We start from the raw sequence: 27,750 nt of genomic DNA, 5'->3' as shown, positions 1-27,750 counted from the left end.
TCACCTCAGGGCAGGCGTTCGAGACCAGCCTGGCCAACATGGCAAAACCCCTCCTCTACTAAAAATACAAAAATTAGCGGGGCATGGTGGCGCATGCCTGTAATCCCAGCTACTCAGGAGGCTAAGGCAGGAGAATCGCTTGAACCCGGGAGGCGGAGATTGCAGTGAGCCGAGATCGTGCCATTGCACTCCAGCCTGGGCGACAGAGCAAGACTCCGTCTCAAAAAATAAAATAAAATAAAAATAAAAAAATAAAGTAGCCCCAGCTCAGTGACTCTCCATGGGATTACCCCTTTTCACTCTATTCGAGACAAATGCCATTAACTGAATTATCTCATTCATTCATTGTATTCATGTTTACTGCTTGCCCTTTCCCACAGACAGTGCTCTTGAAGGTAGGGTCCTGGTCTGTCGTGTTCACCTCTGTAACCCGAGTCTCCTGTGTCTTCAACAGAGCAGGTGCTCAGTTAACATTTGTATTACAGAAGAGGAGGAAGCTACCCGGGTTTGGCTTCTTAACCAAACTTGTAAAGACTCCCTAGGATTCGTCGGATCGCCTTTAACGTCGGTAACTCTGGAGTGTGAAATCAGTCATCCTTCTCTCCCTCCTTCTCACCCTCCAGCCAGCCCCCCATCTCGGACAAAGCGCTACGCCTGCTCAACTCTTTGCAAAATATAACTCTGGGAGGCCCGAGACTGGCGCCTACACGGCCTTGGCGCTGCTGAGCCATGCTCCTGGCCCGTCACCCATAAGCAGCGAGAAAGCGCCAAGTTTCCGCAGCCCCCGTCCGGCCCCGCCCGCCAGGGGAGGAGGGGGGAAGGGGAGGACAGAGCCGCTTACCAGTTCATCCGGACTCAGGACTCCGAACTGGACTCTCTTGATGGTGCGCAGCGGGCATGCGCTGTCCCCCGAGGGGGGGCCACCCCCGTGCATGGCGGAGGCAGGCGCGCTGCGCAGGCGCAAACCTCACTACAAAAAGCCTGCGCCGCCTCCGCCTAGGTGCTCAGACCTCGTCAGGGCGGCCACCGGGAAGGACCTCCCCGAGTTGGGAGGAAAAAGCCGGAGGAGGGGAAGGTGGGGGAGGGAAGGAGGCGGGGAAATAAGGAGCGAAAGGAGCCCTTCTTTCCCTTACCGGAAATTTTTCAGCTCCCAAAAAGGAAAAAAAAAGAAGGGAAAAGGAAAAGGTTTTTGGGGGAGGAAGAAGAAAAAGGGTAACGAATAAATAAGTAACCGGGTTCCTGAACGGCAGAGGTTACGGCAGTTTGTCTCTCCCCCTTCCGGGAGCCGCCTTCTTCTCCAACCGTCCCGGCCGCGCTCTCGGCGCTTCTGAGCAGCGAACTCGCTGAACGACGCTTCTTATAGATTCGCCCTCGCGTCCCCGCCCCTTCCTTTCCCGCCCTCCCTTGCGCTACGGGGCCGCCTGCGCAGGCCCGCAAGGGGTGCGAGCCAGAGTCGTGGGTAAACCCCCCGCTCGCTGGTTGGGCGACCTTTTGAAGTGACAGGGAGAGAAGAATTTTTTTCTTTAATCCCACCGCCTCTCCTCGCTGCTCCCTTTTGCACTGAGGCTTAAGGTTTGAAGACTCGAGGGTAAAATTGGGCCGCTTTCATTCTAGTTTGGACAACGGTTTCATCTTCAGCAAAAGCCTCTCATTCGTAGCCCCCCCCAGCTGGAAAATGGTCTGCTCTGCGAATCGGTAATGGCGGCGGGGCGGGGCGGGTCCTCCCGGGGAAGGGCGGTTGCTCATGAATATGCAGTTCTCTTGCTGAATATGCATGAACAAACCAAGATGGCAGGACCAGTGGCTTGTCCGGAAGTAGCCGATGTTTGTCAAACGGCCCCCGGAGACGGGTGGGCATCTCCTGGCCTGTAATGCCGCGCTGTACCGAGCCATGATCCTAGATCCATGGCCTGAGCCTCTCGAAGAGACTTCAGCTGGGAGGCCTGCTCTGGAAGGAGGGTGGCCACTGTCCGGGAGAGATCACGGGACCGCGACAATCCGAGAAAAGCAGATTAGCCATGGGGCGGGCCACGAAAGTCCTGGGGGATTTGGGGTCAAGGCATCTGAACATTAGGAAATCCTCCACTTTGTAGAATATTTCAGGAATAAAATGGGGGGCGGGGATCCCAAGGGGTTCTCCAATGAGAACGGTCGTAGGACTTTCCACTCTCCCTCCAAAGCAGAGACGACACCACTGCAAGCCACATTCAGAGTAATCCTTGTTTGATGTCAATGTCACGTCACCACCCCAAGGGGGGGGCACAAGCACGAGGAAAGGAAACCTTTGCCGTGAGGGGAGGGGTGGGGAGGCACGCTCCCCTCCCCCACCGCAGCTGCTGGCTCTGTCTTTGCCGGAACACTCCAGCCCCAATGCTCTTCTCTTTGCTGCTGAGTGAAGTCCTCCCCGTGGCCCACGGCCTCCCTGCCTCAGCCGTTTGGATCTGCTCCTCAGACTTTACCCCTTAGTTATGCCCTGATTCCAGGACCCAGCCTGGTCTCCACATCCCTTGGTCCCAGGCTGGCCCCAGGTCTTCCAGGTAGTCCCTCTCCACCAAGTCCCCAAGTCACCCTTGACTCTGAGAGGTATCCCTCTCCCACACCAGTTCTTTTCCAGTCACTTCTCCTCCCATGTTTGTCTTCAGTCTTTGCCTCTATTTATCCCTGTCCCTCCCAACCCCCGGGCTCCCAAGTTCTATCTCACTCCTCCACCTTCCCTTCCCTCTCACAGCTGAGGTTCCAGGCTGTGATGATGGCAATGCTGCCCAGCACAACCCCTGCCCCCACGATGTCAGAAGGTGCCACAGTCTCATGGAGCATATAATACTGCAGTATAAGGGCCACCACCACCTCGGAATGCAGGACAGCGCACACCAGGGCAGGGTGGGCCTTGGTGACCGCATAGCTCACACATGTGAAGGAGACCAAGGCGAGGATCCCCACTGCCCCCACACAACTCCAACTCGGGAGATCACTGGGCAACACGGGGGGCTGCAGCACAAAGAGGCCTGGCACAGAGCCCAGCAGCCCCACCAAGCCAGATAGGAAGGCCACTGTTGGGAGGCAGGAGGGAAAGTGCAGAGAACGATAGACCAGAAGCCCCAGGGACAGCGCCAGTCCTCCCACGAAAGCCTGCCCATAGCCCAGGGCGGTGTAGACACCCGTGATCCCCTCCTGTAGTGTCCAGAGTCCAGGTCCCACAATGATGATTAGTCCTAGGATGCTGCCCAACAGTCCACACCAGTCGTAGCCACTGAGACCCTGGCTCTCAAGGCAGAGGGTGAGGACGGCGGAGCAGACGGTGGAAGAACCTTTGCGAACAGTGGCAGCGTTGCCAGCGGGCACCACCTGAACCGCACTGTAGGCACATCCAATGCTGAGGACGTTGAGCAGGGCATAGAAGTAGGCCCGGCCTCGGATGTCAGGAGGTCCCAGAAGGGGGTCGCCACGCAGTTTAAGTAGCAGGGCAATAGGGAGGTGGAAGAGGCATCGACAGATGAGCAGCTCCAGCGAGGGCAGGTTGGAAGCCTGGTAAGCCATATGAGAAAGGGGGCCCACGAAGCCAGCAGGCAGGCCCCCACCCAGCAGGGCCACCAGCAGGCCATTGGTGGCATCAGAGGGCTGGCAGCACTGGTGCCAGCGGAGGCTGGGTGGAGCGGAGGGCGGCGATGGGTGTGTGGAGTCAGGCGGGTTCAAGTAGGGGTGACTGCCAGCCTGTTAGGGAGAAAGGAGCTCAGGGTAGACAGCAGCCGCAGCCCAGGCGACCTGGGGCAGGGCAGATGCCAGGATGGGGTCTGGGACCCTGTGGGACTGTACAGTGTTGGGCTATCTTGCTGAGGAACTCTTCGGAGCTAGAAAGGGCCTAAAAGATGAGTGAGATGTTATAATGTGGGCCTGGAGCAGGAAGCAAGGAGTGAGCAGTCCTGGAGCATCGTTTCCCTGGGTAAGTTGTTCCTGGGAGGAGAAAAAGGACCCAGGATGCTCTCTCGGATTGAGGAAGGGGAGGAAGCCTCAGATGCTATGCATCTGTATGATGCCACAGGTTCCAGAGACATCTGGGTACACCATTATGAATTCTATTTGTGGGTATCTCTGAGACAGCTAAGTTTTAGGAAAGGAGGGGAAATGGAGCAACCAGGAGCTATAGGGAGGGAGTACTAGGCCCCTGGCCCCCACACTCACCATCTTTCCTTGGACTTTCTCCTCTCCTCCTGGCTCAGGGAGCCTGGGCCCCTCAGAGCTCCAGCCATTGTGACATGGTTGGAGTGGGGGTGGGGTTCTTCCCTGGAACTCTCCTGAGGTGGTAGCACGCCTATTTTCCCGCTGAGTCCAACTCTGCTTCTTTTCTTTCTTTCTTTCTTTTTTTGTTTGCGACGAAGTTTCCACTCTTGTTATCCAGGCTGGAGTGCAATGGTGTGATCTCATCTCACTGCAACCTCCACCTCCCAGATTCAAGCGATTCTCCTGCCTCAGCCTCCCAAGTAGCTGGGATTACAAGAATGTGCCACTACACCTGGCTAATTTTTTTTTTTTTTTTTGGGACGGAGTTTTGCTCTTCTTGCCCAGGCTGGAGTGCAGTGGTGCGTGCAATCTCGGCTCACCGCAACCTCCACCTCCTGGGTTCAAGCAATTCTCCTACCTCATCCTCCCAAGTACCTGGGATTACAGGCATGTGCCACCACACCCCGCTAATTTTTTATTTTTCGTAGAGATGGGGTTTCTCCATGTTGGCCATGCTGGTCTTGAACTCCTTACCTCAAGTGATCCACCCCACCACCCCCCGCCTCCCAAAGTGGTGGAATTACAGGCATGAGCCACCGTGCCCAGCCCAACTCTGCTTCTTTTCTATTTATGTCTCCATGACTCCAAAGTTTGTCTGATTCTTTTATTCTTTTTATGGCTAGCTCTGTGGCTTTACATTAATTTGTTTATTTATATCTTGCATGGTTTCAGAGAGGTTTTTTTGTTGTTGTTTTTTTTTTGAGACGGAGTCTGTCTCTGTCGCCCAGGCTGGAGTGCAGTGGCGAGATCTCGGCTCACTGCAAGCTCCGCCTCCCAGGTTCACGCCATTCTCCTGCCTCAGCCTCCCGAGTAGCTGGGACCACAGGCGCCCGCCACCACGCCCGGCTAATTTTTTTGTATTTTTAGTAGAGACAGGGTTTCACCGTGTTAGCCAGGATGGTCTCGATCTCCTGACCTCGTGATCCGCCCACCTCGGCCTCCCAAAGTGCTGGGATTACAGGCGTGAGCCACCGCGCCCAGCCTCAGAGAGGTTTTAAGGCAAGGAGCTGTGAACCCTGGCTCCTCCATCTCCTTAGTTTTTAATTTTCCAGCACCAGGGAGGAGTTCTTGGGATTGTCCCTGTGGAGTTTCAGGAATGTGTTTTTTCTGTGTGTGCTTCCACCTGGTGTTTTGTTGATGCTGTCCCCAGAGGCCGACACCAAGGCCTCTGCATTTATGTTCAAGTATACAGATGTGGATCTATCTGCTGGTGGGGACAAAGTACCCAGCCAGCTTCATGTGTTCATTTGCGCTGGTGGTCGTTCGTGTGTGCCCCGTATGCAGGGCCAGGGCCTTCTTTTTCCGCGGCCTGCTGAGCTTTCCTGCGCATTCCTGGAGAGGGTGTGTGTGTGTGTCCAGGGCTGGCCCTCTTTGAGTGTGCCGACCCTGGGTCTGTGAGTCCCACCGGGCCTGATTATGAGTCTGCCATGTCATGTCTGCACCCTGAGAGCCTGTGTGTTATGCTTTCAGGCAGTGTGCACCGCTGAGTGAAGGGCGTGCAGGAGGAAGGGCGGAGGGAGCCCTTTCCCTGGGGGTCGGTGGTCTTGCGCCCCTGCCGGGATGCTGCAGCCCGGCCCGCGCCCCGCTCGGTGTCCACCCGCCCGGTGGCCCAGCGCGGCGCAGTGTCATGCCGCGGGGGTCAGTCCTGGGGAAGGCCGTCGGGCGCTCGGAGCTTTGTGTCGGTGTCGGCTGCGCTGCGCCGGCCTCCTCTCGGCGGCGGCGGCGGCGGCGCTGGGGGGGGACTGTTTCCGGGGGTGGGGGTGGGGGTAGGACCGGGGCGGGGGGAGCCGATGATGTCAGCGGCGGCGGCGGCGGCGGCAGCGGGGCCGGGCCGGGGCCAGGCGCTGGGGGGGCCAGGGCCGGAGCTGGAGCCGGAGCCGGAGCTGGAGGCGGGCAAAACCGGAGCGGCCGGGGGCGGCCACGGTGATGAGCCGGGCCTGGCGGACGCGGCGCCATCGCAGTCAGGTGGGCCCTGGGGCGAACTGGGCAGGGCCAGGGCGGACCGGAGCCAACTGCCAGGCCCCCTCTCCGCTGCCCGGCGCTGCGGGAGCCCCGACCGCGCCCCGCGCCCAGACCGCTCTCCTTTGGGGTTGACCTGGGGGCGCAGGGGTCGGGGGCTGAGCCTGGCCCCGCCCCCGGGCGCGCACGACGCTGGGGGGCGACTAAGGGGGCCCTGGTATGGCGTCCGAGCGAGGGGCGGCCGTGGGACGCGATCGCCTGGGGCCGTGGAAGGGGAGGTGCTCACTCCCTCTTTGAAGGGTTAATTCTGCAGCCTAATGGCCCCCTCCCCCCGTGGGGCAGATTGGGGGTGGGGTGGGGCGGGTGTGAGCCCGGGCAAGCGCTGCAAGCTGCTGGGAGGGTGATGGCGTAGGAGCCAGGCAGAGAGGGGGAGGGGTGGGCCGCCGAGCGCCCCAGAGTTGGGGTGTGCGGGGTGCGCAGGGCGAGCTGGGGCCCCGGAACCGCCGCGCCGTCGGGGCAGGGTTGTGGCTGTGAGTCTTGGAGATCGTGTGTCTTGTGCTGTGTGGTGGGGCAAGGTAAACCTCTCCTGGGCACCACCGTTTGCTGGCAGCCAGGGGTCTGGGTAGGGCCCTCCCTGGGCCATGGAGATAGAAAGCCAGGAAGGGTGTCCAGTGTTGTGGGGCAGAGTTACAAGACGAGCCCTGTGGCTTTGGGTGACAGATGGGTATTCTGAGCAGGGCACAGCATGCTGGGTGCAGAGTTTGTTCGATGTGGGGCTGTATGTTTTCTACAGCATGTGTTTTCTCGCATGTGTGTCTTGTGCTGCACCTATGACCTGTTTATGAACTGTTTTCTGCAGAGCTGGCATGCTGTATGTGTTGCGGAGGGTGCCAGGATGCAGTGTATGTGCCCTTTTGGAGGGGGCGGTTGTGGGCCTTTGAGTCAGAAGGCGTCACGTCTGGGTCCCATTTCTGTGGCCCTGCTGAGGTGTGGTCCAGTGGTGAAGAGGGCGATGGATGGGTTTGCGTGTCTGTGATGAGCGCGTTGCATGGGGGCTGCGCGTCTAGAACTCAGATCCCAAAGATCATGAGAGGAGCGAGGAACCCCGGGGTATGTCTCAGGGGCCTGTGGGTCAGTTGGCACTGGTGTGAGGGGCTCGAGGTGGAATGCGCCAGTTGTGTTTATGGGATCATGGGCAGCCAAGCGAGGGGAAGGTTGTGTGTTTGCAACATTCTCCACAGGATTCTTTTGTGACGTTGTTTGTAGGAGCCTGTCTGGGCTGCTGAGCTGGGAGGCAAACTGGTCAGAAAACACATGTGGGGAGGGAGGTGGCGTGACAAGGGCAGTGTGGGCCTCAGACCCAAGAGGCCAGCCGCAAGCAGGCTGTGTGTGCGTGCCTGCCGTCTGTGTGCTTAAGTGGCGGTGGGGCTGCGGAGGGGATTTGGTATGAGGAAGGCGGGAGATAAATGCAGGGTAGCGCATGGAGGCCGGCGGGAGGCATGGGTGTTGTCAGATGGCCCAGCTAATCTTTGCAGGGTCTGTATGTTTGCCCCTCATGAGCCTGCCCAGCGTGTCAGGGTCACCCGGAGGAGAGGCTGGGCGGCCACAAGGGAAGTAAGCTTAGACAGAGAGGCTCCTTGGCCATGTTTATGTAAAGGCTGGGTGTGACTCTTGTCACTAAAATGGAAAAAAGAAACGTGAAGTTTTCAGCCTCCTCCTGCTTCACCCTCTCCCTCTCTCTGCCCCCCTTGTGGGTATCTCTGACGCACACTGGGCCCCACTCCTGCGACGGTGGAAGGGCCTCAGAACAGAATTCGCTCACTAGGCAGATTCCTCAGAACAGGTTTTCCTCACCTTTGGGGACTGGGCCCTTCTAGGGGTGTGTGTGCAAGTGCATTCCAAGCCTGCACACCACTGTCTACTGTGCCCGGCCCCACTGGAAGGATGTGTGTACGTGGGGGAAGGGAGGGTGCTGCGGACAGGCCCTCCGGCATGGGGGGCTGGGAAGGGGTGGCTGCCGTGGGAGCCTGCTCAACAGGTGCACAGTGACGGTCTGGTGAAGAGAAAGGAGCCATGGTCCAGGGCTGAGGAGCTCTGGCGTCTTTACCATTCCCTCACTGGCACTTGATCTGAAGGAAGCTCAGTTCCTCATCTGCAGAATGGGGCTGATTGTCTGCCCTGCGTATCTTCCAAAAGCACATGGGAAACGGACCCGGAAAGTGGCTATAGTCTGGGGGCTGTGCCTATGCCAGCCCCTGTCAGCCCTCCCCCAGGACTGGGAATTCCCTTCTTGGGGCTTCGCTGATAATAATGGCAGCACACACTTGCTTAGCACTGACCGTGCACCAGCCTGTCCTCAGGGCACTTATATGTGGCCACTCTGTCCTCAGAACAACACCCTGAAGTAGGCACTCTACCTCCCTTTTTCAAGTGAGGCAGCTGAGGTCCAGAGAAGTTAAGTAATCTGCCCCAAGTCACTTAGCTAGTAAGAGGTGAAGCTGTATTTGAACCCGGGCAATCAGGTTGAAGATCTTGTGCTCTTAACTACTGTACTCTGCTGCCTTCTGGAACATTCAGTGGATGGTCCTTTCTGTGCAACTCCCTCCAACACTCTTCTCCCCAGTTGCTGCAGAACTTAGCATTTGCAGCAGTCCATTTCAGAAGACCCGGATGCTCAGGGATCCCCAGCTGAGGGCATGAGAACCTGAGTCTCTGCTGCTGTGTAAGGTGGATGCTGGCCATAGGAGCACAAAAGGTTGATGAGTCAGAGGAAGGAATGATCGTTCTCATCCTGTGGATCAGGGAGGGCCAAGAAGGAGGTGGCCTTGGAGTCAGATCTTAACGTTTTGGAGGGATTTTGACAAGCTTGGGGAAAGAGCATTTCTGGCAGAACAAGCCAGCACAGGCAAAGGCATGAAGGTGTGGGTCATGTAGAAGCTGGAGAGCACACTGGGTGTCTGGGGTTTTGTTCATTTGTTTAGAAACTGGGTCTCAATATATTGCCCAGGCTGGACTCAAACTCCTGGGCTCAAGCAATCCTCTAGCTGCAGCCTCCTGAGTAGCTGGGACTATGGGTATCTGCCATCACGCCTGGCTCACGCTGAGTACTGTGTGTTTGAAGAGGATAACACAAGGCAAGATTAAAAAGGAAGATTGGAGCTAGACCAGAGCCCTTGACTGCCTGGTAGAAGAATTTGAACTTTCTTCTAGAGTCAGTGGGGACCAGTGGAGGTTTTGAGCCCAGGAGTGATAGTCCTGAACTGTGGTTAGGGACGTTGACCCTCAGGGGGAGGAGGGCTGGATGGAGGAAGGTAAGCCTGGAGGCCAGGGGATAGCTGGGAGGCCATAACCTTGGACCACGTGAGTGTTAACAAGGACCTGAGCTATCGAAGGGAAGATTTCCAGAGCCATTCCCAAGCTCGGCGGCGATTTCAGCCACACTTGATGACTGCTGGATGTGGAAGTGAGGGAAAGGGTGGAGTCAGACATGACACATTTAGCACTTAGCACGTGAGACCTTGTGCGGTGGTTTATGTAACCAGCTGGCGGGCCATAGGCCTCTTCAGGGCCAGGTCTAGCAGTATGGCAGAGGGAAAGATTGAGCATCTGGGGTCAGCTGGGCCTGGATTCGAATCTTGACTGCTGCTTACAAGCTGTGCGACCTCGAGTAAGGTATATCCCTCTCTGAGCCTCGGTTTCCTCTTCTGTAAAATTAGAATAATATGGCCGGGCGCAGTGGCCCATGCCTGTAATCCCAGAACTTTGGGAAGCCAAGGCAGGTGGATCACCTGAGGTCAGGAGTTCAAGACCAGCCTGGCCAACATGGAGAAACCCTGTCTCTACTAAAAATAAAAAAACTAGCTGGGCGTGGAATCCCAGCTACTCTGGAGGCTGAGGCAGGAGAATTGCTTGAACCCAGGAGACGGAGGTTGCAGTGAGCCGAGATCACGCCACTGCGCTCCAGCCTGGGCAACAGGATAATATAAAACCTATTGTGGGTGGCTGTACTGAGAATATCATTAAATGAGGTAATGTGTGTGAGGCCCCAAGAAGAGTATGAGGCAAATTGTGAGGACTCCAGAGTGGTCAACTTATTTATGGTTTCTTTTAATTTTTTTTTGAGACGGAATTTCTCTCTTGTTACCCAGGCTGGAATGCAATGGCATGATCTTGGCTCACTGCAACCTCCGCCTTCCGGGTTCAGGTGATTCTCCTGCCTCAGCCTCCCGGGTAGCTGGGGTTACAGGCGCCCGCCACTACGCCCAGCTAATTTTTTATTTTCAGTAGAGACCAAGTTTCACCATGTTGGCCAGGCTGGTCTCACCATGTTGGCTAGGCAGGTGGTCAATCCCTGACCTCAGGTGATCCACCTGCCTTGGCCTCCCAAAGTGCTGGGATTACAGGCGTGAGTTGGCCATACCTGGCCTTTTTTTTTTTTTTTTTTTTTTTTGAGGCAGAGTCTCACTCTGTCGCCCAGGCTGGAATGCAGTGGCGCAATCTCTGCTCGCTGCAACCGCCACCTCCCCGGTTCAAGCAATTCTCCTGCCTCAGCCACCTGAGTAGCTGGGGTTACAAGCGTGCACCACCACACCCAGCTAATTTTTGTATTTTTAGTACAGATGGGGTTTCATCATGTTGGCCAGGCTGGTCTGGAACTCCTGACCTCAAGTGATCTGCCCGCCTCAGCCTCCCAAAGTGCTGGGATTACAGGTGTGCGCCACTGTGCCTGGCCCAGAAGTGGTCAAGTTATAATTGTCATCCCTATCTCCAGGCCAACTCAGTCCAGCGTGGACGATGGCTTCCATCCTGGAGGATGGACTTTGAGGACAGGTTCATTCATTTACCAGTTTTTTTGTTTTGTTTTTACCACCTATTACGTGCTAGGCCCTATTCTAACGACTTCAGATACGGCAATGAACAAAGCAGACAAAATTCCCTACCCTTGGCCGGGCGCTGTGGCTCACACCTGTAATTCCAACACTTTGGGTGTCCAAGGCGGTGAATTGCTTGATCCCAGGAGTTCGAGACCAACCTGGGCAACATGGTGAAGCCCTATCTCTACTAAAAATACAAAAAATTCGCTGGGCGTGGTGGCATATGCCCGTAGTCCCAGCTACTTGGGAGGCTGTAATGAGAGAATCACCTGAGCCTAGGGGAGGTCAAGGCTGCAGGGAGCTGTGGTAACACCACTGCACTACAGCCTGGGTGACAAAGCAAGACCTCATGTCAAAAAAAAAAAAAGTCTGGCCATGGTGGCTCATGCCTGTAATTCCAGCGCTTTGGGAGGGAGGCCAAGGCGGGTGGATCACCTGAGGTCAGGAGTTCGAGACCAGCCTGGTCAACATGGTGAAACCCTGTCTCTACTAAAAATATAAAAATTAGCCGGGTGTGGTGGCATATGCCTGTAGTTCCAGGTTTTTGGGAGGCTGAGGCAGGAAAATTGCTTGAACCCAGGAGGCAGAGGTTGCAGTGAGCCGAGAGAGATCATGCCACTGCACTCCAGCCTGGGCAACAGAGCAAGATGCCATCCATCTCAAAAACAAAACAAAACCAAAAACATTCCTACCTTTTACCCCTTGGAGCTTACATTCCAGAGATAAATAAGAAATAGGAGCTGGGCGCAGTGGCTTTCCACTATGATCCCAGCACTTTGGGATGCTGAGCTGGGCGGATTGCTTGAGACCAGGATTTCAATACCAGCCCTGGGGAACATGGTGAAACCTCATCTCTACAAAAAATACAAAAATTATCTGGGCATGGTGGCAGGTACCTGTAGTCCCAGCTACTCAGAAGGCTGACAGGTGAGAGGATCATTTGAGCCCAGGAGGTTAAGGCTGCAGTGAGCCTCAATCTCACCATTGTACTGCAGCCTGGGCAACAGAGCAAGATCCTGTCTCAAAAAAAGATAAATAATTGACCAGGCTCTGTAATCCCAGCACTTTGGGAGGCTGAGGCGGGCAGATCACCTGAGGTCAGGAGTTTAAGACCAGCCAGGCCGACATGGTGAAACCCCATCTCTACTAAAAATACAAAAATTATCCGGGCCTGGCCAGGCGCGGTGGCTCATGCCTGTAATCCCTGCACTTTGGGATGCCGAAGTGGGCAGATCACAAGGTCAGGAGATGGAGACCATCCTGGCTAACATGGTGAAACCCCGTCTCTACTAAAAATACAAAAAAAAATTAGCCGGGAGTGGTGGTGGGTGCCTGTAGTCCCAGCTACTCCGGAGGCTGAGGCAGGAGAATGGCGTGAACCCGGGAGGCGGAGCTTGCAGTGAGCCAAGATCGCACCACTGCACTCCAGCCTGGGCGACAGAGCGAGACTCAGTCTCAAAAAAAAAAAAAAAAAAAATGGTGGCGCGCGCCTATAGTCCCAGTGACTCGTGAGGTTGAGGCAGGAGAATCTCTTGAACCCGGGAGGCGGAGGTTGCAGTGAGCCAAGATTGTGCCACTGCACTCCAGCCTGGGCGACAGAGCTAGACTCTGTCCCCCGCCGCAAAAAAAAAAGAGAAGCAGTTGGGCCAGTTTCAGTGGCTCATGCATGTCATCCCAGCACTTTGGGAGGCCGAGGCAGAAGGATCACTTGAGCCCAGGAGTTCGAGACCAGCCTGGCCAACATAGAGAGATCCAATCTCTACTAAAAATAAAAAATAAATTAACTGGGCATTGTGGTGTGCACCTGTGGTGCCAGCTACTAGGGACGCTGAGGTGGGAGGTCATGAGAGCCTGGGAGGTTGAGGCTGCAATGAACCATGATTGTGCCACTGCACTCCAACCTGGGCAACGGAGTGAGACCTCATCTCAAAAAAAAAAAAAAAAAAAAAAAAAGAATGGCCAGGTGCAGTGGCTCACTCCTATAATCCTGGCACTTGGAGAGGCAGAGGCGGGCAGATCACTTAAGGTCAGGAGTTCAAAACCAGCCTTGCCAGCATGGTGAAACCCCACCTCTACTAAAAATACAAAAAAATTAGCCAGGCTGGGCGCGGTGGCTCATGCCTGTAATCCCAGCCCTTTGGGAGGCCAAGGCAGGTGGATCACGAGGTTGGGATTTCAAGAACAGCCTGGCCAAGATGGTGAAACCTCGTCTCTACTAAAAATACAAAAATTAGCCGGACGTGGTGGCAGGCGCCTGTAATCCCAGCTACTCGGGAGGCAGAGGCAGGAGAATCGCTTGAACCCAGGAGGCGGAGGTTGCAGTGAGCCCAGATCGCACCACTGCACTCCAGCCTGGGCGACAGAGCTGGACTGTGTCTCAAAAAAAAAAAAGAAAAAGTGTTACTAAGTGCCAAGGAGCAAAATAAAGTAGGGTCGGGAGATAGGAAGTTTTAGAAGGTGGGGAGTGGCCAGGGAAGGCCTCAGGGGAAGGTGGCTTCTAAGTCAAGGCTTAAAGGAAGTTGGGGTTCACTGCATGAGGCTATCTGGAGGAAAGAACATTCCAGCCAGAGGGAACCGCAAGATGTAGGGCGTCTCTGGTGTCCATGCTCAGATCCCCACCTCAGTGGCACATCTGAGGTCACACAGGCACTGAAGAGTAGAGAAATGGTAAGAACAAACAAATAAAAAACTCTAAAACCACAGAGCCACCAAACCTACCAGGAAGCCCAATTTGTGCCTTTTTTTCTTCACTACTTCTCCCCACCATTTTCCAGGACTGAGTTCTACAAACTAAATATTGCCAGTTGTTAGCTCATTTAATCTTTACAACAACCCCACAAGGTAGGAACTATTAATTGTCCCCACCGTATGGACAAAGAAACAGATACAGAGAGGTTAAGTAACCTGCCTGGGGTCACATAGCTAGTCTTTTCCACTTCCTATAAGGCCTTGCAGGGCAGTAGCCAGGATAGGGCAGTTTAACTCAAGCTGCGTCCAAACGCTGGGTTGGCTAGCAACAAAACCAGAGGCAAATAACCCCATCACTACCTACCTTCTACCTGAAAGGGAGGAGTTTAGAGTATTTGATTTCTCTAAGCCTGTTGTCTCACTGGCCATTTTGAGTGTTGAAATGAGATGATACAGATAAAATGCTTAGCATTATACTTTGCACATCATAAGTATTTCAAGCCTGGGCAACGTGGCAAGACCCCATCTCTACAAAAGTAAATAAATAAATTAGCCAGGCATTGTGACATAAGCCTATGGTCCCAGATACTCCGGAGGCTGAGGCAGGAGGATCATTTGATTCCAGGAGGTCCAGGCTGCAGTGAGCAATGTTCACACCACTGCACTCCAGCTTGGGCAACAGAATGAGACCCTGTCTCAAAAAAAAAAAATTTTTTTCATAAATGGCAGCTACAGAGACCATGATGACAATGATTGTGTGTGATCTTAAGGGCCAGTCCAGCATTGGGTGTCTCTAGTTCTAAGAAGCCCTGACAGGTCTCGTCCAAGTACTGTGGTAGTCAGCACACGGTCACACATGCATAGCCCACCACATATGGTTGTGCAGGTTGGCAGGCCCAGCCAGTGGGGTGAATGGGGACTGGAGGCAAAGCTTGACTTTGCCCACCTACACAGGGCTGCTACCTCCTGGAGGAAAGAACCTTGCTTCTAATTTTCAGAAAGGCACCCAGGTAGGATATTTGTGCCCTAGTGGGTGCCATAAACACGTCCTTCGTTAATATATGGTGAAGTCATCAGGAACACAGGCTTTGGAGCCAAACTTCCTGGGATCAGATCCCAGCCCTGCTACTAGCTGGTCATACGTCCTTGGGCCAGCTACCTAGCATTGATAAGCCATAATCTGACATTTTATTTATTTATTTTGAGACGAAGTTTCATTCTTGTTGCCCAAGCTGGAGTGCAATGGTGCAATCTCGGCTCACTGCAACCTTTGCCTCCTGGGTTCAAGTGATTCTCCTGCCTCAGCCTCCTGAGTAGCTGGGATTATAGGTGCCCACCTCCATGCCCTGCTAATTTTTTATATTTTAAGTAGAGACGGTGTTTCACCATGTTGGCCAGGCTGGTCTCGAGCTCCTGAACTTCAGGTGATCCATCCACCTCGGCCTCCCAAAGTGCTGGGATTACAGGCATGAGCCACCATGCCCAGCCTATTTTATTTTTTTGAGGCAGGGTCTTGTTCTGTCACTCAGGCTGGAGTACAGTGGCATAATCATAACTCACTGCAGCCTTGAACTCCTGGGCTTAAGGGATGCTCCCACCTCAGCCTCCTGAGTAGCTGGAACTATAGGTGCACACCACCACACCTGGCTAATTTTTGTATTTTTTGTAGAGACCAGGTTTCTCCATCTTGCCCAGGCTGGTCTCGAACTCCTGAGCTCAAGGGATCCACCTGCCTCAGCCTTCCAAAGTGCTGGGATTACAAGTGTGAGCCACTGCACCCAGCCCATGGTCTGTCATTTTATTTATTTATTTATTTTTTGAGACAGAGTCTCGTTCTGTCACCAGGCTGGAGTGCAGTGACGCAATCTCGGCTCACTGCAACCTCCGCCTCCCGGATTCAAGTGATTCTCCTGCCCCAGCCTACCGAGTAGCTGGGACTACAGGTGCCTGCCACCACGTCCGGCTAATTTTTGTATTTTCAGTAGAGAGAGGGTTTCACCATGTTTTTCAGGATGGTCTCAATCTCTTGACCTCGCGATCCACCCGCCTCTGCCTCCCAAACTGCTAGGATTACAGGTGTGAGCCACCGTGCCCGGCCTATTTTTTATTTATTTTTATTTTTATTTTTTGAGACAGAGTCTCACTCTGTCACCCAGCCTGGATTGATCTCCATCCAGCGCGATCTCGGCTCACTGCAGCCTCTACTTCCTGGGTTCCAGCAATTCTCCTACCTCAGCCTCCCAAGTATCTGGGATTACAGACACCCACCACCATGCCTGGCTAATTTTTTTTTTATTATTATTTTTAGTAGAGATCGCCACATTGGCCAGGCTGGTCTAGAACTCCTGACCTCAGATGATCCGCCCGCCTTGGCCTCCCAAAGTGCTGGGATTACGGGCATGAGCCACCGTGCCCGGCCTTAAAGAGGGAAAGTGGCCAGGCATGGAGGCTCACGCCCATAATCCCAGCACTTTGGGAGGCCTAGGTAGGCAGGTCACAAGGTCAGGAGATCAAGATTACCCTGGCTAACACGGTGAAACCCTGTCTCTACTAAAAATACAAAAAATTAGCCAGGCATGGCGGCGGACGCCTGTAATCCCAGCTACTCAAGAAGCTGAGGCTGGAGAATCGCTTGAACCTAGGAGGCGGGGGTTGCAGTGAGCTGAGATTGCACCACTGCATTCCAGTCTGGGCGCAGAGCGAGACTCCATCTCAAAACAAATAAATAAAATTTAAAAGGAGGGAAAGCTAACTGCTACCTTTCAGGGTAGTGATAAGGAACAAATGAGGTAATCCAAATAAAACACTGACTCTTGGGGTCCCGGTGAGCCAGTGGTTCTCATGGAGGCGAGTAGGAGGCCTGGGCATCAGCCTGTGAATGCAGTGAGGCCCCTTCCGCAGGATGCCTGACCTACGACCTACCTGAAATTCACCAACTGACAGGGCAACACTTGACCCAGAACCTCATCAGTCCCTGGCAGACAGGGTTGTTAAAACTTTGGAATATCATCCCTGTTTACCATCTTCCTTCTTCCCATCCAGGAGAGGTGTCAGGAAAATATTTTGGGGGATGTGAAATGGGGTATATGTGGGGAAAAGGCCTTTGAGTCCAGACAGTATGAGTGATAAATGGGAAAGAAGATTTTTCAGGGGATGGGAATTGTATGAGGAACTCCTGATGCCGGACACCTCTGAAGACACGTGGCCCACGGCATACGGAAGGACACCCTCAAAGATGGGTGACAGCTCCCAGGCTTTGTGGAGGGCAGAGGAGAGGGTCCGGAGAGCTCTGCTCTCAAGTCTGCGGGCCTGGATCTCTAAATAGGTGCCGCCTGTCATTACCAGCGCTGTGTGACTTTGGATAAGTCTGGCTTTTGAACTCAAACCTTCAACTGAAAAGAGTCTTCAAGGCCCTGATGGTGCCTGCAGGGGAAGGTGGCTGCGCGGTGCTTTCTCTGCTGCTGACTGCCTGAGCTTGCGTTTCAGTTGTCTGCTCTTCCCTTTGTTTTTTGGGGGGTTTTTTTTTGAGACGGAGTTTTGCTCTTGTTGCCCAGGCTGGAGTGCAGTGGCGTGACCTCGTCTCACTGCAACCTCCAGCTCCCAGGTTCAAGTGATTCTCCTGCCTCAGCCTCCCAAGTAGCTGGGATTACAGGCACGTGCCACCACGCCCGGCTAATTTTTTGTATTTTTAGTAGAGATGTGGGTTTCACCATGTTGGTCAGGCTGGTCTTGAACTCCTGACCTCAGGTGATCCACCCCTCTTGGCCTCCCAAACTGCTGGGATTACGGGCGTGAGCCCCCGCGCCTGGCCTTGCTCTTCCCTCTGGACGAGTCTCCCAGCAAGAGGTGAGGTAGGAGTTGTGATTCTGCCGCTTTTTAAGTCCAGATCCCTAGGGCATCAGGTCTCTGAGTAAGGCGTGGGACCAGGCCTCCTGGTCTTGTGGCCTTTCCAGTGCCCTCCAGAGGCTGGAGCAAGCTGGCAGTTGTGTATGGGTCAGTGGTCTTCAATGGTTGCCTGGCAGCTGCGCCAGAAACCCCCTTCTAAGATTTATGGGGCTGGAAGGATGTGAGGATGTCCTCTCCTAATTTGAATATCTACCAGCTTAGGTCCAATTTTTAAAAACTCACAAATTATTTTGATATGTAAATGAGACCATTGTGATAAATGACAACATGCAAATCTTTGACTTCCTCTGAGCCCTGGAGATTGGGCCAAAGGGACTTGAGAGTGCTGTGACAGGCTTCCCTGAACCTATGGACTGGACCTGTGCTACTATATTGTTTGGAGGTGAATTGGGAATATGCAAATTATCTTGTCACTGTACTTCTCTGGGCCCGCAGAACAAGGCTCTGCAATAATCTGCGTGACCTCCCAGGTTTGACTGGACACAGCTAAACAAATAACCTGGCAGAGGCTCCGGGGAGGGGTCTGGGCTCACCCAGGTGTCCTCTCTGGCCACAGTACTGCACCCCTCCCCACTTCCTGGGGGCTTTTCCTCTCACTTCCCTCCTTGAGGACCCTCTTCTGCTCCTCCTCTAGGTTCCCCTGACATAATTTCTGTTTCTCCGCAGAAGGAAGAGGCCCAGCAGAAGGGACTCGCTGAGCCACCCCCCGCCCCACTCCATGTTGGCTGTGCTCTCAGGTGAGAAGGTACCCAGAGGCCTACAGTGAGGACAAAGTAGACCCAAGGCAGCAGGCCAGCAGGGGCGGCCATTTTGTCTAGGCTGGGGAGTTCTGTGAAATGGCTATCAGGAGTTGTGGAGCTTCCTCCTCCTTCCCATGAGAGAGATTTGCCTCACTTACATCTCTAGTCTGTGACTTCAGAGGTCATGACCCCTTGACCTTCACCATGACCTGAGGTATCTCTGGCCTCTTCCAGCCTCAGAAGTGAGTTAGACATACTGGTCTTGGATGCTGGCCAGACTTGGGTGGCTAAGGGCCAACCCCTGACTTCTGTGACCAGAAGTGATTCAGCCTTCCACTAGTTTCTGACCAGCAGCTCCTGATCCTCTCTCTGCCTGATTTTAGAAGCCCCTGCCCTCTGCCCAGCCTCTGAGACTCTACCCGGCCTCTTCTCCCACTGTCTAGGCTGGCACCATGCCCCCCCCTGCAGAGGTGACGGACCCGTCCCATGCCCCCGCCGTCCTGCGCCAGCTCAATGAACAGCGGCTCCGTGGCCTCTTCTGTGACGTCACCCTCATAGCCGGAGACACCAAGTTCCCTGCTCACCGCAGCGTCCTGGCTGCTTCAAGTCCCTTCTTCAGAGAGGCCCTGCTCACTTCAGCCCCACTACCCCTTCCACCAGCTACTGGGGGCGCCGCACCCAACCCTGCCACCACCACAGCTGCCTCTTCCTCCTCCTCCTCTTCCTCGTCTTCTTCCTCTTCTTCCTCCTCTGCTTCTTCTTCTTCTTCCTCTTCCTCTTCCTCTCCCCCTCCAGCCTCTCCCCCTGCTTCTTCCCCACCCCGGGTCCTGGAGTTGCCAGGAGTCCCAGCAGCTGCGTTTTCTGATGTCCTCAACTTCATCTACAGCGCCCGGCTCGCACTGCCTGGTGGTGGAGGGGACGGGGCAGCTGTAGCAGAGATTGGAGCTTTGGGGCGCCGTCTGGGCATCTCCCGCCTTCAGGGCCTGGGGGAGGGAGGTGATGCCTGGGTACCTCCTACCCCAGCCCCCATGGCCACCTCGCAGCCTGAAGAGGACAGCTTTGGGCCCGGGCCCAGGCCAGCTGGGGAGTGGGAGGGTGACAGGGCTGAGGCCCAGGCCCCTGACTTGCAGTGCTCCCTGCCCCGGCGGCCCCTCCCCTGCCCCCAGTGTGGAAAAAGCTTCATCCATCCCAAACGGCTGCAGACCCATGAGGCCCAGTGCCGACGAGGGGCCAGCACGCGGGGGTCTACAGGGCTGGGAGCTGGGGGCGCTGGCCCTGGTGGTCCTGCAGGGGTGGACGCCTCAGCCCTGCCTCCACCAGTGGGCTTCCGAGGGGGCCCCGAGCACGTGGTGAAGGTGGTGGGCGGCCACGTGCTGTATGTGTGCGCGGCCTGCGAGCGTTCCTACGTGACCCTGTCCAGTCTGAAGAGACACAGCAATGTACACTCGTGGCGGAGGAAGTACCCCTGCCGCTATTGTGAGAAAGTGTTTGCTCTGGCGGAGTACCGCACGAAGCATGAAGTGTGGCACACGGGGGAGCGCAGGTGAGTGATCCAGGCTGGCGGGGGAGCGGCTGGAGGCTGGCACTCAGCGGTCATAGGAACAAGGGCGGCAGTGGGTGGGGCTTGGGGCCTAGAAAGTTATCCTGAAACTAGGCTAGCTGCAGTAATCCCAGCACTGTGGTTAGCTGAGGTGGGAGGATCGCTTGTGGCCAGGAGTCTGGGACGAGCCTGGACAACATAGAGACCCCATCTCTACAAACAATTTTTTTTTCTTTTTTTTTTTTTTTTTGAGACAGAGCCTCTCTCTGTAGCCCAGGCTGGAGTGCAGTGGTGCCTTCTCGGCTCACTGCCACCTCCGCCTCCCAGGTCCCAGTTCAAGCAATTCTGCCTCAGCCTCCCGAATAGCTGGGATTACAGGCATGCGCCACCATGCCCAGCTAATTTTTTTTTGTATTTTTAGTAGAGTCAGGGTTTCATCATGTTGGTCAGGATGGTCTTGAACTCCTGACCTCGTGATCTGCCCGCCTTGGCCTCCCAAAGTGCTGGGATTACAGGCGTGAGCCACCACACCTGGCATTTTTTTTATTTTTTTTTTTTGAGACAGAGTCTCGCCCTGTTGCCCAGGCTGGAGTGCAGTGGCGTGATCTCGGCTCACTGCAAGCTCCACTTCCCAGGTTCACGCCATTCTCCTGCCTCAGCCTCCCGAGTAGCTGGGACTACAGGCGCCCGCCATCACGCCCGGCTAATTTTTTGTATTTTTAGTAGAGACGGGGTTTCACCGTGTTAGCCAGTATGGTCTCGATTTCCTGACCTTGTGATCCACCCGCCTTGGCCTCCCAAAGTGCTGAGATTACAGGCATGAGCCACCGCGCCCGGCGGCATTTTTTTTTTTTTAAGACGGCATTTTTTTTTTTTAAGACCGAGTCTCGCTCTGTCCCCCAGGCTGGAGTGCAGTGGCGCAATCTCAGCTCAGTGCAACCTCTACCTCCTGGGTTCAAGCGATTCTCCTGCCTCAGCTTCCCGAGTATCTGGGATTACAGGTGCGCGCCACCACGCCCAGCTAATTTTTGTATTTTTAGTAGAGACAGGGTTTCACCATGTTGGCCAAGCTGTTCTTGAACTCCTGACCTCAGGTGATTCGCCAACCTCAGCCTCCCAAAGTGCTGGGAGTACAGGGATGAGCCACTGCGCTCAGCCTCTACAAGCAATTTGAGAATTTAAAAAAAAAGCCATCCTGAGGCCCCTGCTCACCACCACTCACCGGTCTGCCTCCCTCCAGCCCCAGTTCCTTCAGCTGAGGTTTTTTTTTTTTTTTTTTTTTCTTTTTTTGACAGAGTCTCACTCTGTCGCCCAGGCGGGAGTGCAGTGGTGCAATCTTGGCTCACTGCAACCTCACCTCCAGGGTTCATCAGCTGAGGTTTGTTAGGGCCTCTTTGTGCCATGTCCTGGCTTGCTGCTGTGGGGAAGGCCTAGAAGGAAAGAGAAAACTCCCCTCACCAGAAAGGACTGTGGCAGCACAGGCATGTCCGGGAGTCATTACACTATTCCGAGCAGGGCCTTGTGTTTCCACGTGGTGTCCCTGTTCGTAAGTCGTTTCCCCATTCTGCCATTTGGGCTTGAGAAGAAGGCTCCGTGAGTTAGGCTGCGTCCCAGATGGAATAGCTGAGGCCTAGAGTCTCACAGCCAGTGGAGGCACTGAGCTCAGACGGGCACCCTGCACTGAGGCTGGCCTGGTGAGGGAGGCAGCACAAGGCTACGGGAGTCACAGGTTTGAGTGCAGGGTGTAGGAGGACCTGGGAGGCTTCAGGGCCCTTGACTCAAGTGCCTGTGTTCCTGCCCTATTCCCTGCTGTCCTGACCCAGGTACCAGTGCATCTTCTGTTGGGAGACCTTTGTCACTTACTATAACCTGAAGACCCACCAGCGAGCCTTCCACGGCATTAGCCCGGGCCTCCTTGCCAGTGAGAAGACACCCAATGGAGGCTACAAGCCCAAGCTCAATACACTCAAGCTCTACCGCCTGCTCCCCATGCGGGCAGCCAAGCGGCCCTACAAGACCTACAGCCAGGGAGCCCCGGAGGCTCCCCTTTCTCCAACCCTCAACACACCGGCCCCTGTGGCAATGCCAGCCAGCCCGCCGCCTGGGCCTCCACCTGCCCCAGAGCCTGGCCCTCCACCCTCTGTCATCACTTTTGCCCACCCAGCCCCCTCTGTCATTGTCCATGGGGGCAGTAGCAGTGGTGGAGGGGGGAGTGGGACGGCCAGCACAGGAGGGTCCCAAGCTGCCTCGGTTATCACTTACACTGCTCCCCCGAGGCCACCCAAGAAACGAGAATACCCACCTCCTCCCCCTGAGCCTGCAGCCACACCCACCAGCCCAGCCACAGCAGTCAGCCCAGCCACCGCTGCAGGGCCAGCCATGGCCACCACCACGGAGGAGGCCAAGGGCCGGAATCCACGGGCTGGAAGGACTCTGACTTACACAGCCAAGCCAGTGGGCGGGATTGGTGGAGGTGGGGGTCCCCCCACAGGGGCTGGCCGGGGCCCCTCTCAGCTGCAGGCTCCACCTCCACTGTGTCAGATCACTGTGCGAATAGGGGAGGAGGCCATCGTCAAGCGCCGCATCTCAGAGACTGACCTGCGTCCTGGGGAGCTGAGCGGAGAGGAGATGGAGGAGAGTGAGGAGGACGAAGAGGAGGAGGACGAAGAGGAGGAGGAGGAGGATGAGGAGGAATCAAAGGCTGGTGGGGAGGACCAGCTCTGGAGGCCCTACTACTCCTACAAGCCTAAGCGCAAGGCTGGAGCTGCTGGAGGTGCCAGTGTGGGGGGCAGTGGGCTGCCCCGAGGCCGCCGGCCACCACGTTGGAGGCAGAAGCTGGAACGGAGGAGCTGGGAGGAAACCCCAGCGGCCGAGAGCCCAGCGGGACGTGCCCGCACAGAGCGGAGGCACCGATGCGGGGACTGTGCCCAGACCTTCACCACCCTGAGAAAGCTGCGGAAGCACCAAGAGGCCCACGGTGGGGGCTCCCACAGCTCCCGGGCCGGACGGAGGCCCTCCACCCGCTTTACCTGCCCCCACTGCGCCAAGGTGTGCAAGACCGCAGCTGCCCTGAGCCGCCACGGGCAGAGGCATGCTGCTGAGCGGCCCGGGGGCACCCCAACCCCTGTCATTGCCTATTCCAAGGGCAGCGCTGGCACCAGGCCCGGGGATGTCAAGGAGGAAGCCCCCCAAGAGATGCAAGTCTCCTCATCCAGCGGTGAGGCAGGTGGCGGGAGCACTGCTGCTGAGGAAGCTTCCGAGACCGCCTCACTCCAGGACCCTATCATTTCAGGGGGTGAGGAGCCCCCAGTAGTGGCAAGCGGGGGCAGCTATGTATACCCACCTGTGCAGGAATTTCCACTGGCCTTGATTGGGGGCGGCCGGGAACCTGGCGGTGGCAGGGGAAAATCTGGGAGTGAAGGGCCAGTGGGGGCTGGTGAGGGGGACCGGATGGAGGGGATAGGGGCTGCCAAAGTCACTTTCTACCCTGAGCCCTACCCGCTCGTCTATGGCCCCCAGCTCCTTGCCGCCTACCCTTACAACTTCAGTAACTTGGCCGCTCTCCCGGTTGCTCTCAACATGGTCCTACCTGATGAGAAGGGTGCGGGGGCCCTTCCCTTCCTACCAGGGGTCTTTGGCTACGCAGTGAATCCTCAAGCAGCACCCCCTGCCCCACCAACACCACCTCCCCCAACTCTTCCTCCACCAATTCCCCCTAAGGGAGAAGGGGAAAGGGCAGGGGTTGAGAGAACCCAGAAGGGCGATGTGGGGTGAACCCTGGGGCTCAATCCCCCTTTCACCAGATGCCACCCTCCCTGAACCCCCCACCACTACCAGCTCCCTGGCCTCCCTGCCCCTTGGGAGCCCCTTCACACTCTTGTGCAGGGACTTGGGGGCCCCTGGAGCTCAGGGGTCAGGCTGCTTTGTGTGAGATGTAGTTTTCCCATCTCCTGGGAAGGGATCTTTCGAGGTTCCCCTCTCAGTCTTCCTCCAGGGAATGGCCTCCATGAGGGGCAGGGCCAGCTTCCATCCCTTCTCCAGCCCTTGGGGCAACTGAGCAATATACTTAACCTGAATCTCTACTCACAGCCCCCACCAGCTCTGAATGTCTAACCTGCTCCCCTGATTCGTAAACCTAGGGGAAACCATCTCTCTCACCTAATGACCCGCCTTGTTCTGAAGCTTTCTCTAAGCCCTTCCCAGTTGCTTCCTAGCACATTCCATTCTTTGTGGCCCAGGGCCTGGACCAGACCATTGTGATACCTGACCCCGCCCACCTGGGAGTGTGGCTTTGGGTTTCATCCTTCCCCAGCGTGGGTCTCTACGTCCCTGTTTCCCTTGTATCAAGACACCTTCCTCAGCTTCCATGCCTTTGGATCTTCCATGTTCCTCCCCATATTCCTGGACTTCGGAGATGGCCTCTCCCAAGCCAGGTCAAGGAGGTTTGGGGGAGGGTTGCCCCTCTGCCCCTCTGTTCTGTGGCTGAGCACTTTCCCAGTCCAGGGCAGGGAAATATTGGCCCTATCTTGACCCCCAAATCCAGTGAGCTCCAGATTCTTCCAAGGCAAAAGAGGTAAGCAGATCACACCTCTTTCTGCCTCTACATATGGCCTATTCTGGGCTAGACCAGATTTGGGGGCCAGGAGGGAAGAACTCCATATGGGATGGAGAAGGGAATCTACTTTCTCCCTGTTTTTTTTTCCTGATGGTTTCTCCCAGACTAGACCAAATAGCCAGAAAAATGATAGGGGTCGGATGGGTGGGTAAGCCCAGGATTTGCACATGACCTTCCATCCTTACCTGTATTCCCATCTCCCCAGTGTCACTCCCCTCACCAATCACTCCAGATGGTTTTGGGGGAACCATTCTACTCTTCTGGTGGGCTTTGGGGTATCCCCACCAACTTTCCCTTCAAAATAGCACCTTACACCCCATCTTTGACTCAGTTCCCCACACCCAAAGATCCCAGCCTAGGGATGGGGTACAGGGACTTTAAATAGTCCCTAATCCCTAATTTGCACTAGTTAACCCTGGTCAGGGTCCCTGTATTTCCTTCCAGTGGGGGAGATAAATGTTTGCTCCTAATTCTCTTTGAAAACTGGGCCTCCCTGCTCTGTGATTGGATAAATATTTCCCATCCCACCCACCTCCCCCCAAAAAATAGCTCACAAGGGGAGAGCCAGTATGGGGGAGCAAATTTGACAAATGGGAATTAGAGGAGTGCAGTTTTAAAAGGAAAAGTTGCTGTCATCAAAATGGCAGCCTTTTCCCCAGCTACTGTTTTTGGGGCCAAGATGGCTGCCCTAGCAGCAATCACTGCCAAGGGCAAGATCATGGCTTTTGGAGGGAGGTGAGTTTAGGGAGGGCCAGGACCATCCTCCTACCCCTCATACCCTCCCAGCATATACAAAAGGGGAGGTTTTAGACAGGCTCCCTGAATGTTAACCACAGAGGAGTCACTCCTTCATTCCTCCTCTGTCTCTTTGCACTTTTCTTGGTCTTGGCCACAGCCTGAGTGACGAATTTCCTACTGAATGTACCAAGTTCCAATTTTTAAGGGGGGGAAAGGTTTCAAATGGGGAAAAACACACAAAAAAAAAAATCACTAAAAATTCCCACAAATCTTGTTTCTGGCACTTTAGAAAAACTGCAAAAAAATACGTAATAAAGAATACATATATATATATCTACACACAAATTATATATCTATCTATCTATACAGCGGAACCACAAGAGAGACTGAGGAAGGCCTGGAGGCAGGGGCAGAGGTGACGACAGTGCCCCTATATCCTTAACCCATACTCCTCTGAGGCAAACAGGCATGGGAAAATGGAAGGGTTGAGGATGGACCGGAGAATTGGAACTTCAGAATAGGTCAAAATTCCAAAACCATGGACATTTTTTTTTGGGAGAATTGAGATTGTAGACATTTTTTTTTTCTTAAATATGATCAAGGAAAATAGCTTCCAGAATGTGGTGGTTCTGGGCAACAAATGAGATTGTGGCGACGTGGAGATTAAAATATATGTATTTGAGCTGGGGAATTTGAATATTGTGAGTTTCAGATGTTGGAAATTTGGGATTTTGCAGTTTTGTCTTTTGAAAATGATCAAGTCTTGTCAGTTCGTGCCCTCTTTCCCCATGTTCCCTGGGAAGACGGGTGGTGGCAGAGTGAGAAGGCCACTGGTTCTGTGCCGCAGCACGCAAAATTTAGAATTCTACAGACTAGCTCTATACGTAGTGAGGACCCAGATTTAGAGAAACTGACCAATATTTATCTCCGCATTTGTGTGTGTGTCCAACTCTGTAGGCCAATAAACCAACAAGACAAATGAACTGTGCTCCACAGTGGGATGCCAGGTGCAATTATTTGCGTGGCTGGTGGGTCTGGGGGAAAGGAACATGCTAACTTTGTCCCACAAGGATCCCTGTGAGTTGTGGCCCAATGCTCCCTGTTTGGACGCAACTTCCAGCAGTTGAGTAGTTGAGTGAGGGCTTGTTGACTGTAGGCTCAAGCTGACTTTGGCCCAACATCCAGCCAGAAATATTAACAGTCTAGTTCATACAACCTGCTGGGCGCGAGATCTCTATGTCCAAAATGGCCCTGCCTTAAACCAGGTCTAACCTTCCTTCCAAATTGAAAGAAAACTGAGGCATAAAATGTGTGATGGCCATAAGAGACACAACCTTTCTTTTTCCACTTGTGGCTTCCCCATTGGCTTCAATTCGTTGCCCCCTGTATCTTTTCTAGTGTTACGGAGGGATGGGCAGGTAAACTAAGTGACGTGGGTCAGGTTTACAGGGGCTTTGAGGAATTATGGTATGAATAACTTGACCAGAGTGGCAGCCACTAAGCTCTACACAAGTTGTTGCCAACAGGGGAATCAGGCCTGGTGTTACTATAGTTTTTTGTTGTTGTTGTTGTTTGAGATGGAGTTTCGCTCTTGTTGCCCAGGCTGGAGTGCAGTGGCACGATCTTGGCTCGCTGCAACCTCCACCTCCCAGGTTCAAGCGATTCTCCTGCCTCAGGCTCCTGAGTAGCTGGGATTACAGGTGCACGCCACCACATCCAGCTAATTTTTGTATTTTTAGTAGAGACGGGGTTTCAGCATGTTGGTCAGGCTGGTTTCGAACTCCTGACTTCGTGATCTGCCTGCTTCAGCCTCCCAAAGTGCTGGGATTACAGGCATAAACCACCACGCCCGGACTACTATAGTTTTTAAAATTATCTTTGAGGCTGGGTGTGATGGCTCATACCTGTAATCCCAGCATTTTGGGAGGCCAAGGCAGGTGGATCACTTGAGCTCAGAAGTTCAAGACCAGCCTGGGCAACATAGTGAGACCCTGTCTCTATAGTTTTTTTTTAAATAAGATTATTTTCAAGAGAAGCCAGGAAGCCAAATTTCTCATGAAATATCCACATTTTAAAAGCAGTGAACTAGTAGCCAGGCGTGATGGCTCACGCCTGTAATCCCAGCACTTTGGGAGGCCGAGGCGGGCAGATCACGAGGTCAGGAGTTCTAGACCAGCCTGGCCAACATAGTGAAACCCCATCTCTACTAAAAGTACAAAAATTAGCTGGGCATGGTGGTGTGGGTCTGCAGTCCCAGGTACTCAGGAGGCTGAGCCAGGAGAATCACTTGAACCCGGGAGGCAGAGGTTGTGGTGAGCCGAGGTCCCGCCACTGCACTCCAGCCTGGGCAACACAGCGAGACTCTGTCTTGAAAAAAAATAAAAAATAAAAGTAGTGAACTAGTTCAAATTT

The 27,750-nt window shown here is 54.7% G+C and overlaps 3 protein-coding genes across 8 annotated transcripts in view, besides 10 other annotated features; 1 reads left to right on the top strand and 2 right to left on the bottom strand.

The window, feature by feature from the left end:
* Positions 1-1,333, bottom strand: part of POLR2A (RNA polymerase II subunit A) — a 30,251-nt gene extending 28,918 nt beyond the window's left edge. Inside the window, 1 exon segment of the mRNA NM_000937.5 lies at positions 842-1,333. Within this exon segment, the coding sequence (NP_000928.1) occupies positions 842-934 (93 nt within the window). The 5' untranslated portion in view covers positions 935-1,333.
* Positions 133-1,126: an enhancer, noted in NCBI's record as "H3K27ac hESC enhancer chr17:7387892-7388885 (GRCh37/hg19 assembly coordinates)". NCBI's record gives its function as "activates a minimal SCP1, AML or CMV promoter by ChIP-STARR-seq in primed H9 embryonic stem cells {active_cell/tissue: H9 hESC(primed)}" and the evidence as "EXISTENCE:reporter gene assay evidence [ECO:0000049][PMID:30033119]".
* Positions 695-1,014: a silencer, noted in NCBI's record as "silent region_8125". NCBI's record gives its function as "represses an Ori minimal core promoter by ATAC-STARR-seq in GM12878 lymphoblastoid cells {active_cell/tissue: GM12878}" and the evidence as "EXISTENCE:reporter gene assay evidence [ECO:0000049][PMID:35858748]".
* Positions 1,127-2,121: an enhancer, noted in NCBI's record as "OCT4-H3K27ac-H3K4me1 hESC enhancer chr17:7386897-7387891 (GRCh37/hg19 assembly coordinates)". NCBI's record gives its function as "activates a minimal SCP1, AML or CMV promoter by ChIP-STARR-seq in primed H9 embryonic stem cells {active_cell/tissue: H9 hESC(primed)}" and the evidence as "EXISTENCE:reporter gene assay evidence [ECO:0000049][PMID:30033119]".
* On the top strand, positions 1,450-26,321 carry ZBTB4 (zinc finger and BTB domain containing 4). 5 transcript variants are annotated; one of them, NM_020899.4, is made up of 4 exons: positions 1,450-1,695; positions 18,372-18,442; positions 18,889-19,988; positions 21,809-26,321. In NM_020899.4, exons 3-4 carry the CDS (start codon positions 18,898-18,900, stop codon positions 23,757-23,759), a joined length of 3,042 nt encoding a protein of 1,013 aa, NP_065950.2. In that variant the 5' UTR covers positions 1,450-1,695; positions 18,372-18,442; positions 18,889-18,897; the 3' UTR covers positions 23,760-26,321. The 5 variants fall into 5 exon arrangements, with proteins under 5 accessions (NP_065950.2, NP_001122305.1, XP_047292437.1 ...); NM_001128833.2 differs by lacking the exon at positions 1,450-1,695 and adding an exon at positions 6,068-6,243; XM_047436481.1 differs by lacking the exon at positions 1,450-1,695 and adding an exon at positions 6,267-6,454.
* Positions 1,825-1,894: an enhancer, noted in NCBI's record as "active region_11625". NCBI's record gives its function as "activates an Ori minimal core promoter by ATAC-STARR-seq in GM12878 lymphoblastoid cells {active_cell/tissue: GM12878}" and the evidence as "EXISTENCE:reporter gene assay evidence [ECO:0000049][PMID:35858748]".
* Positions 1,985-2,034: an enhancer, noted in NCBI's record as "active region_11624". NCBI's record gives its function as "activates an Ori minimal core promoter by ATAC-STARR-seq in GM12878 lymphoblastoid cells {active_cell/tissue: GM12878}" and the evidence as "EXISTENCE:reporter gene assay evidence [ECO:0000049][PMID:35858748]".
* Positions 2,125-2,394: an enhancer, noted in NCBI's record as "active region_11623". NCBI's record gives its function as "activates an Ori minimal core promoter by ATAC-STARR-seq in GM12878 lymphoblastoid cells {active_cell/tissue: GM12878}" and the evidence as "EXISTENCE:reporter gene assay evidence [ECO:0000049][PMID:35858748]".
* Positions 2,203-4,253, bottom strand: SLC35G6 (solute carrier family 35 member G6). 2 transcript variants are annotated; one of them, NM_001102614.2, is made up of 2 exons: positions 4,180-4,253; positions 2,203-3,711 (listed from the first exon to the last, which is right to left on the bottom strand). In NM_001102614.2, the coding sequence occupies exons 1-2, from the start codon at positions 4,180-4,182 to the stop codon at positions 2,698-2,700; spliced, it is 1,017 nt and encodes a 338-aa protein (NP_001096084.1). In that variant the 5' UTR covers positions 4,183-4,253; the 3' UTR covers positions 2,203-2,697. The 2 variants fall into 2 exon arrangements, with proteins under 2 accessions (NP_001096084.1, XP_047292489.1); XM_047436533.1 differs by having other exon boundaries at positions 4,174-4,182.
* Positions 5,712-5,971: a silencer, noted in NCBI's record as "silent region_8124". NCBI's record gives its function as "represses an Ori minimal core promoter by ATAC-STARR-seq in GM12878 lymphoblastoid cells {active_cell/tissue: GM12878}" and the evidence as "EXISTENCE:reporter gene assay evidence [ECO:0000049][PMID:35858748]".
* Positions 5,992-6,451: a silencer, noted in NCBI's record as "silent region_8123". NCBI's record gives its function as "represses an Ori minimal core promoter by ATAC-STARR-seq in GM12878 lymphoblastoid cells {active_cell/tissue: GM12878}" and the evidence as "EXISTENCE:reporter gene assay evidence [ECO:0000049][PMID:35858748]".
* Positions 6,712-6,761: a silencer, noted in NCBI's record as "silent region_8122". NCBI's record gives its function as "represses an Ori minimal core promoter by ATAC-STARR-seq in GM12878 lymphoblastoid cells {active_cell/tissue: GM12878}" and the evidence as "EXISTENCE:reporter gene assay evidence [ECO:0000049][PMID:35858748]".
* Positions 19,709-20,231: an enhancer, noted in NCBI's record as "H3K27ac-H3K4me1 hESC enhancer chr17:7368787-7369309 (GRCh37/hg19 assembly coordinates)". NCBI's record gives its function as "activates a minimal SCP1, AML or CMV promoter by ChIP-STARR-seq in naive H9 embryonic stem cells {active_cell/tissue: H9 hESC(naive)}" and the evidence as "EXISTENCE:reporter gene assay evidence [ECO:0000049][PMID:30033119]".

This window comes from Homo sapiens, chromosome 17 (genome assembly GCF_000001405.40).
Source record: "Homo sapiens chromosome 17, GRCh38.p14 Primary Assembly".
NCBI lineage: Eukaryota > Metazoa > Chordata > Mammalia > Primates > Hominidae > Homo > Homo sapiens.
This window is presented reverse-complemented; position numbering and strand designations above follow the sequence as displayed.

What these genes read in the sequence shown, in the direction of transcription:
- ZBTB4 (NM_020899.4), top strand. Translation starts at nt 18,898, where the DNA reads ATGCCCCCCCCTGCAGAGGTGACGGACCCGTCCCATGCCCCCGCCGTC. An exon ending in TGGCACACGGGGGAGCGCAG is followed by an intron (nt 19,989 to 21,808) that starts GTGAGTGATCCA and finishes GTCCTGACCCAG; the next exon opens with GTACCAGTGCATCTTCTGTT.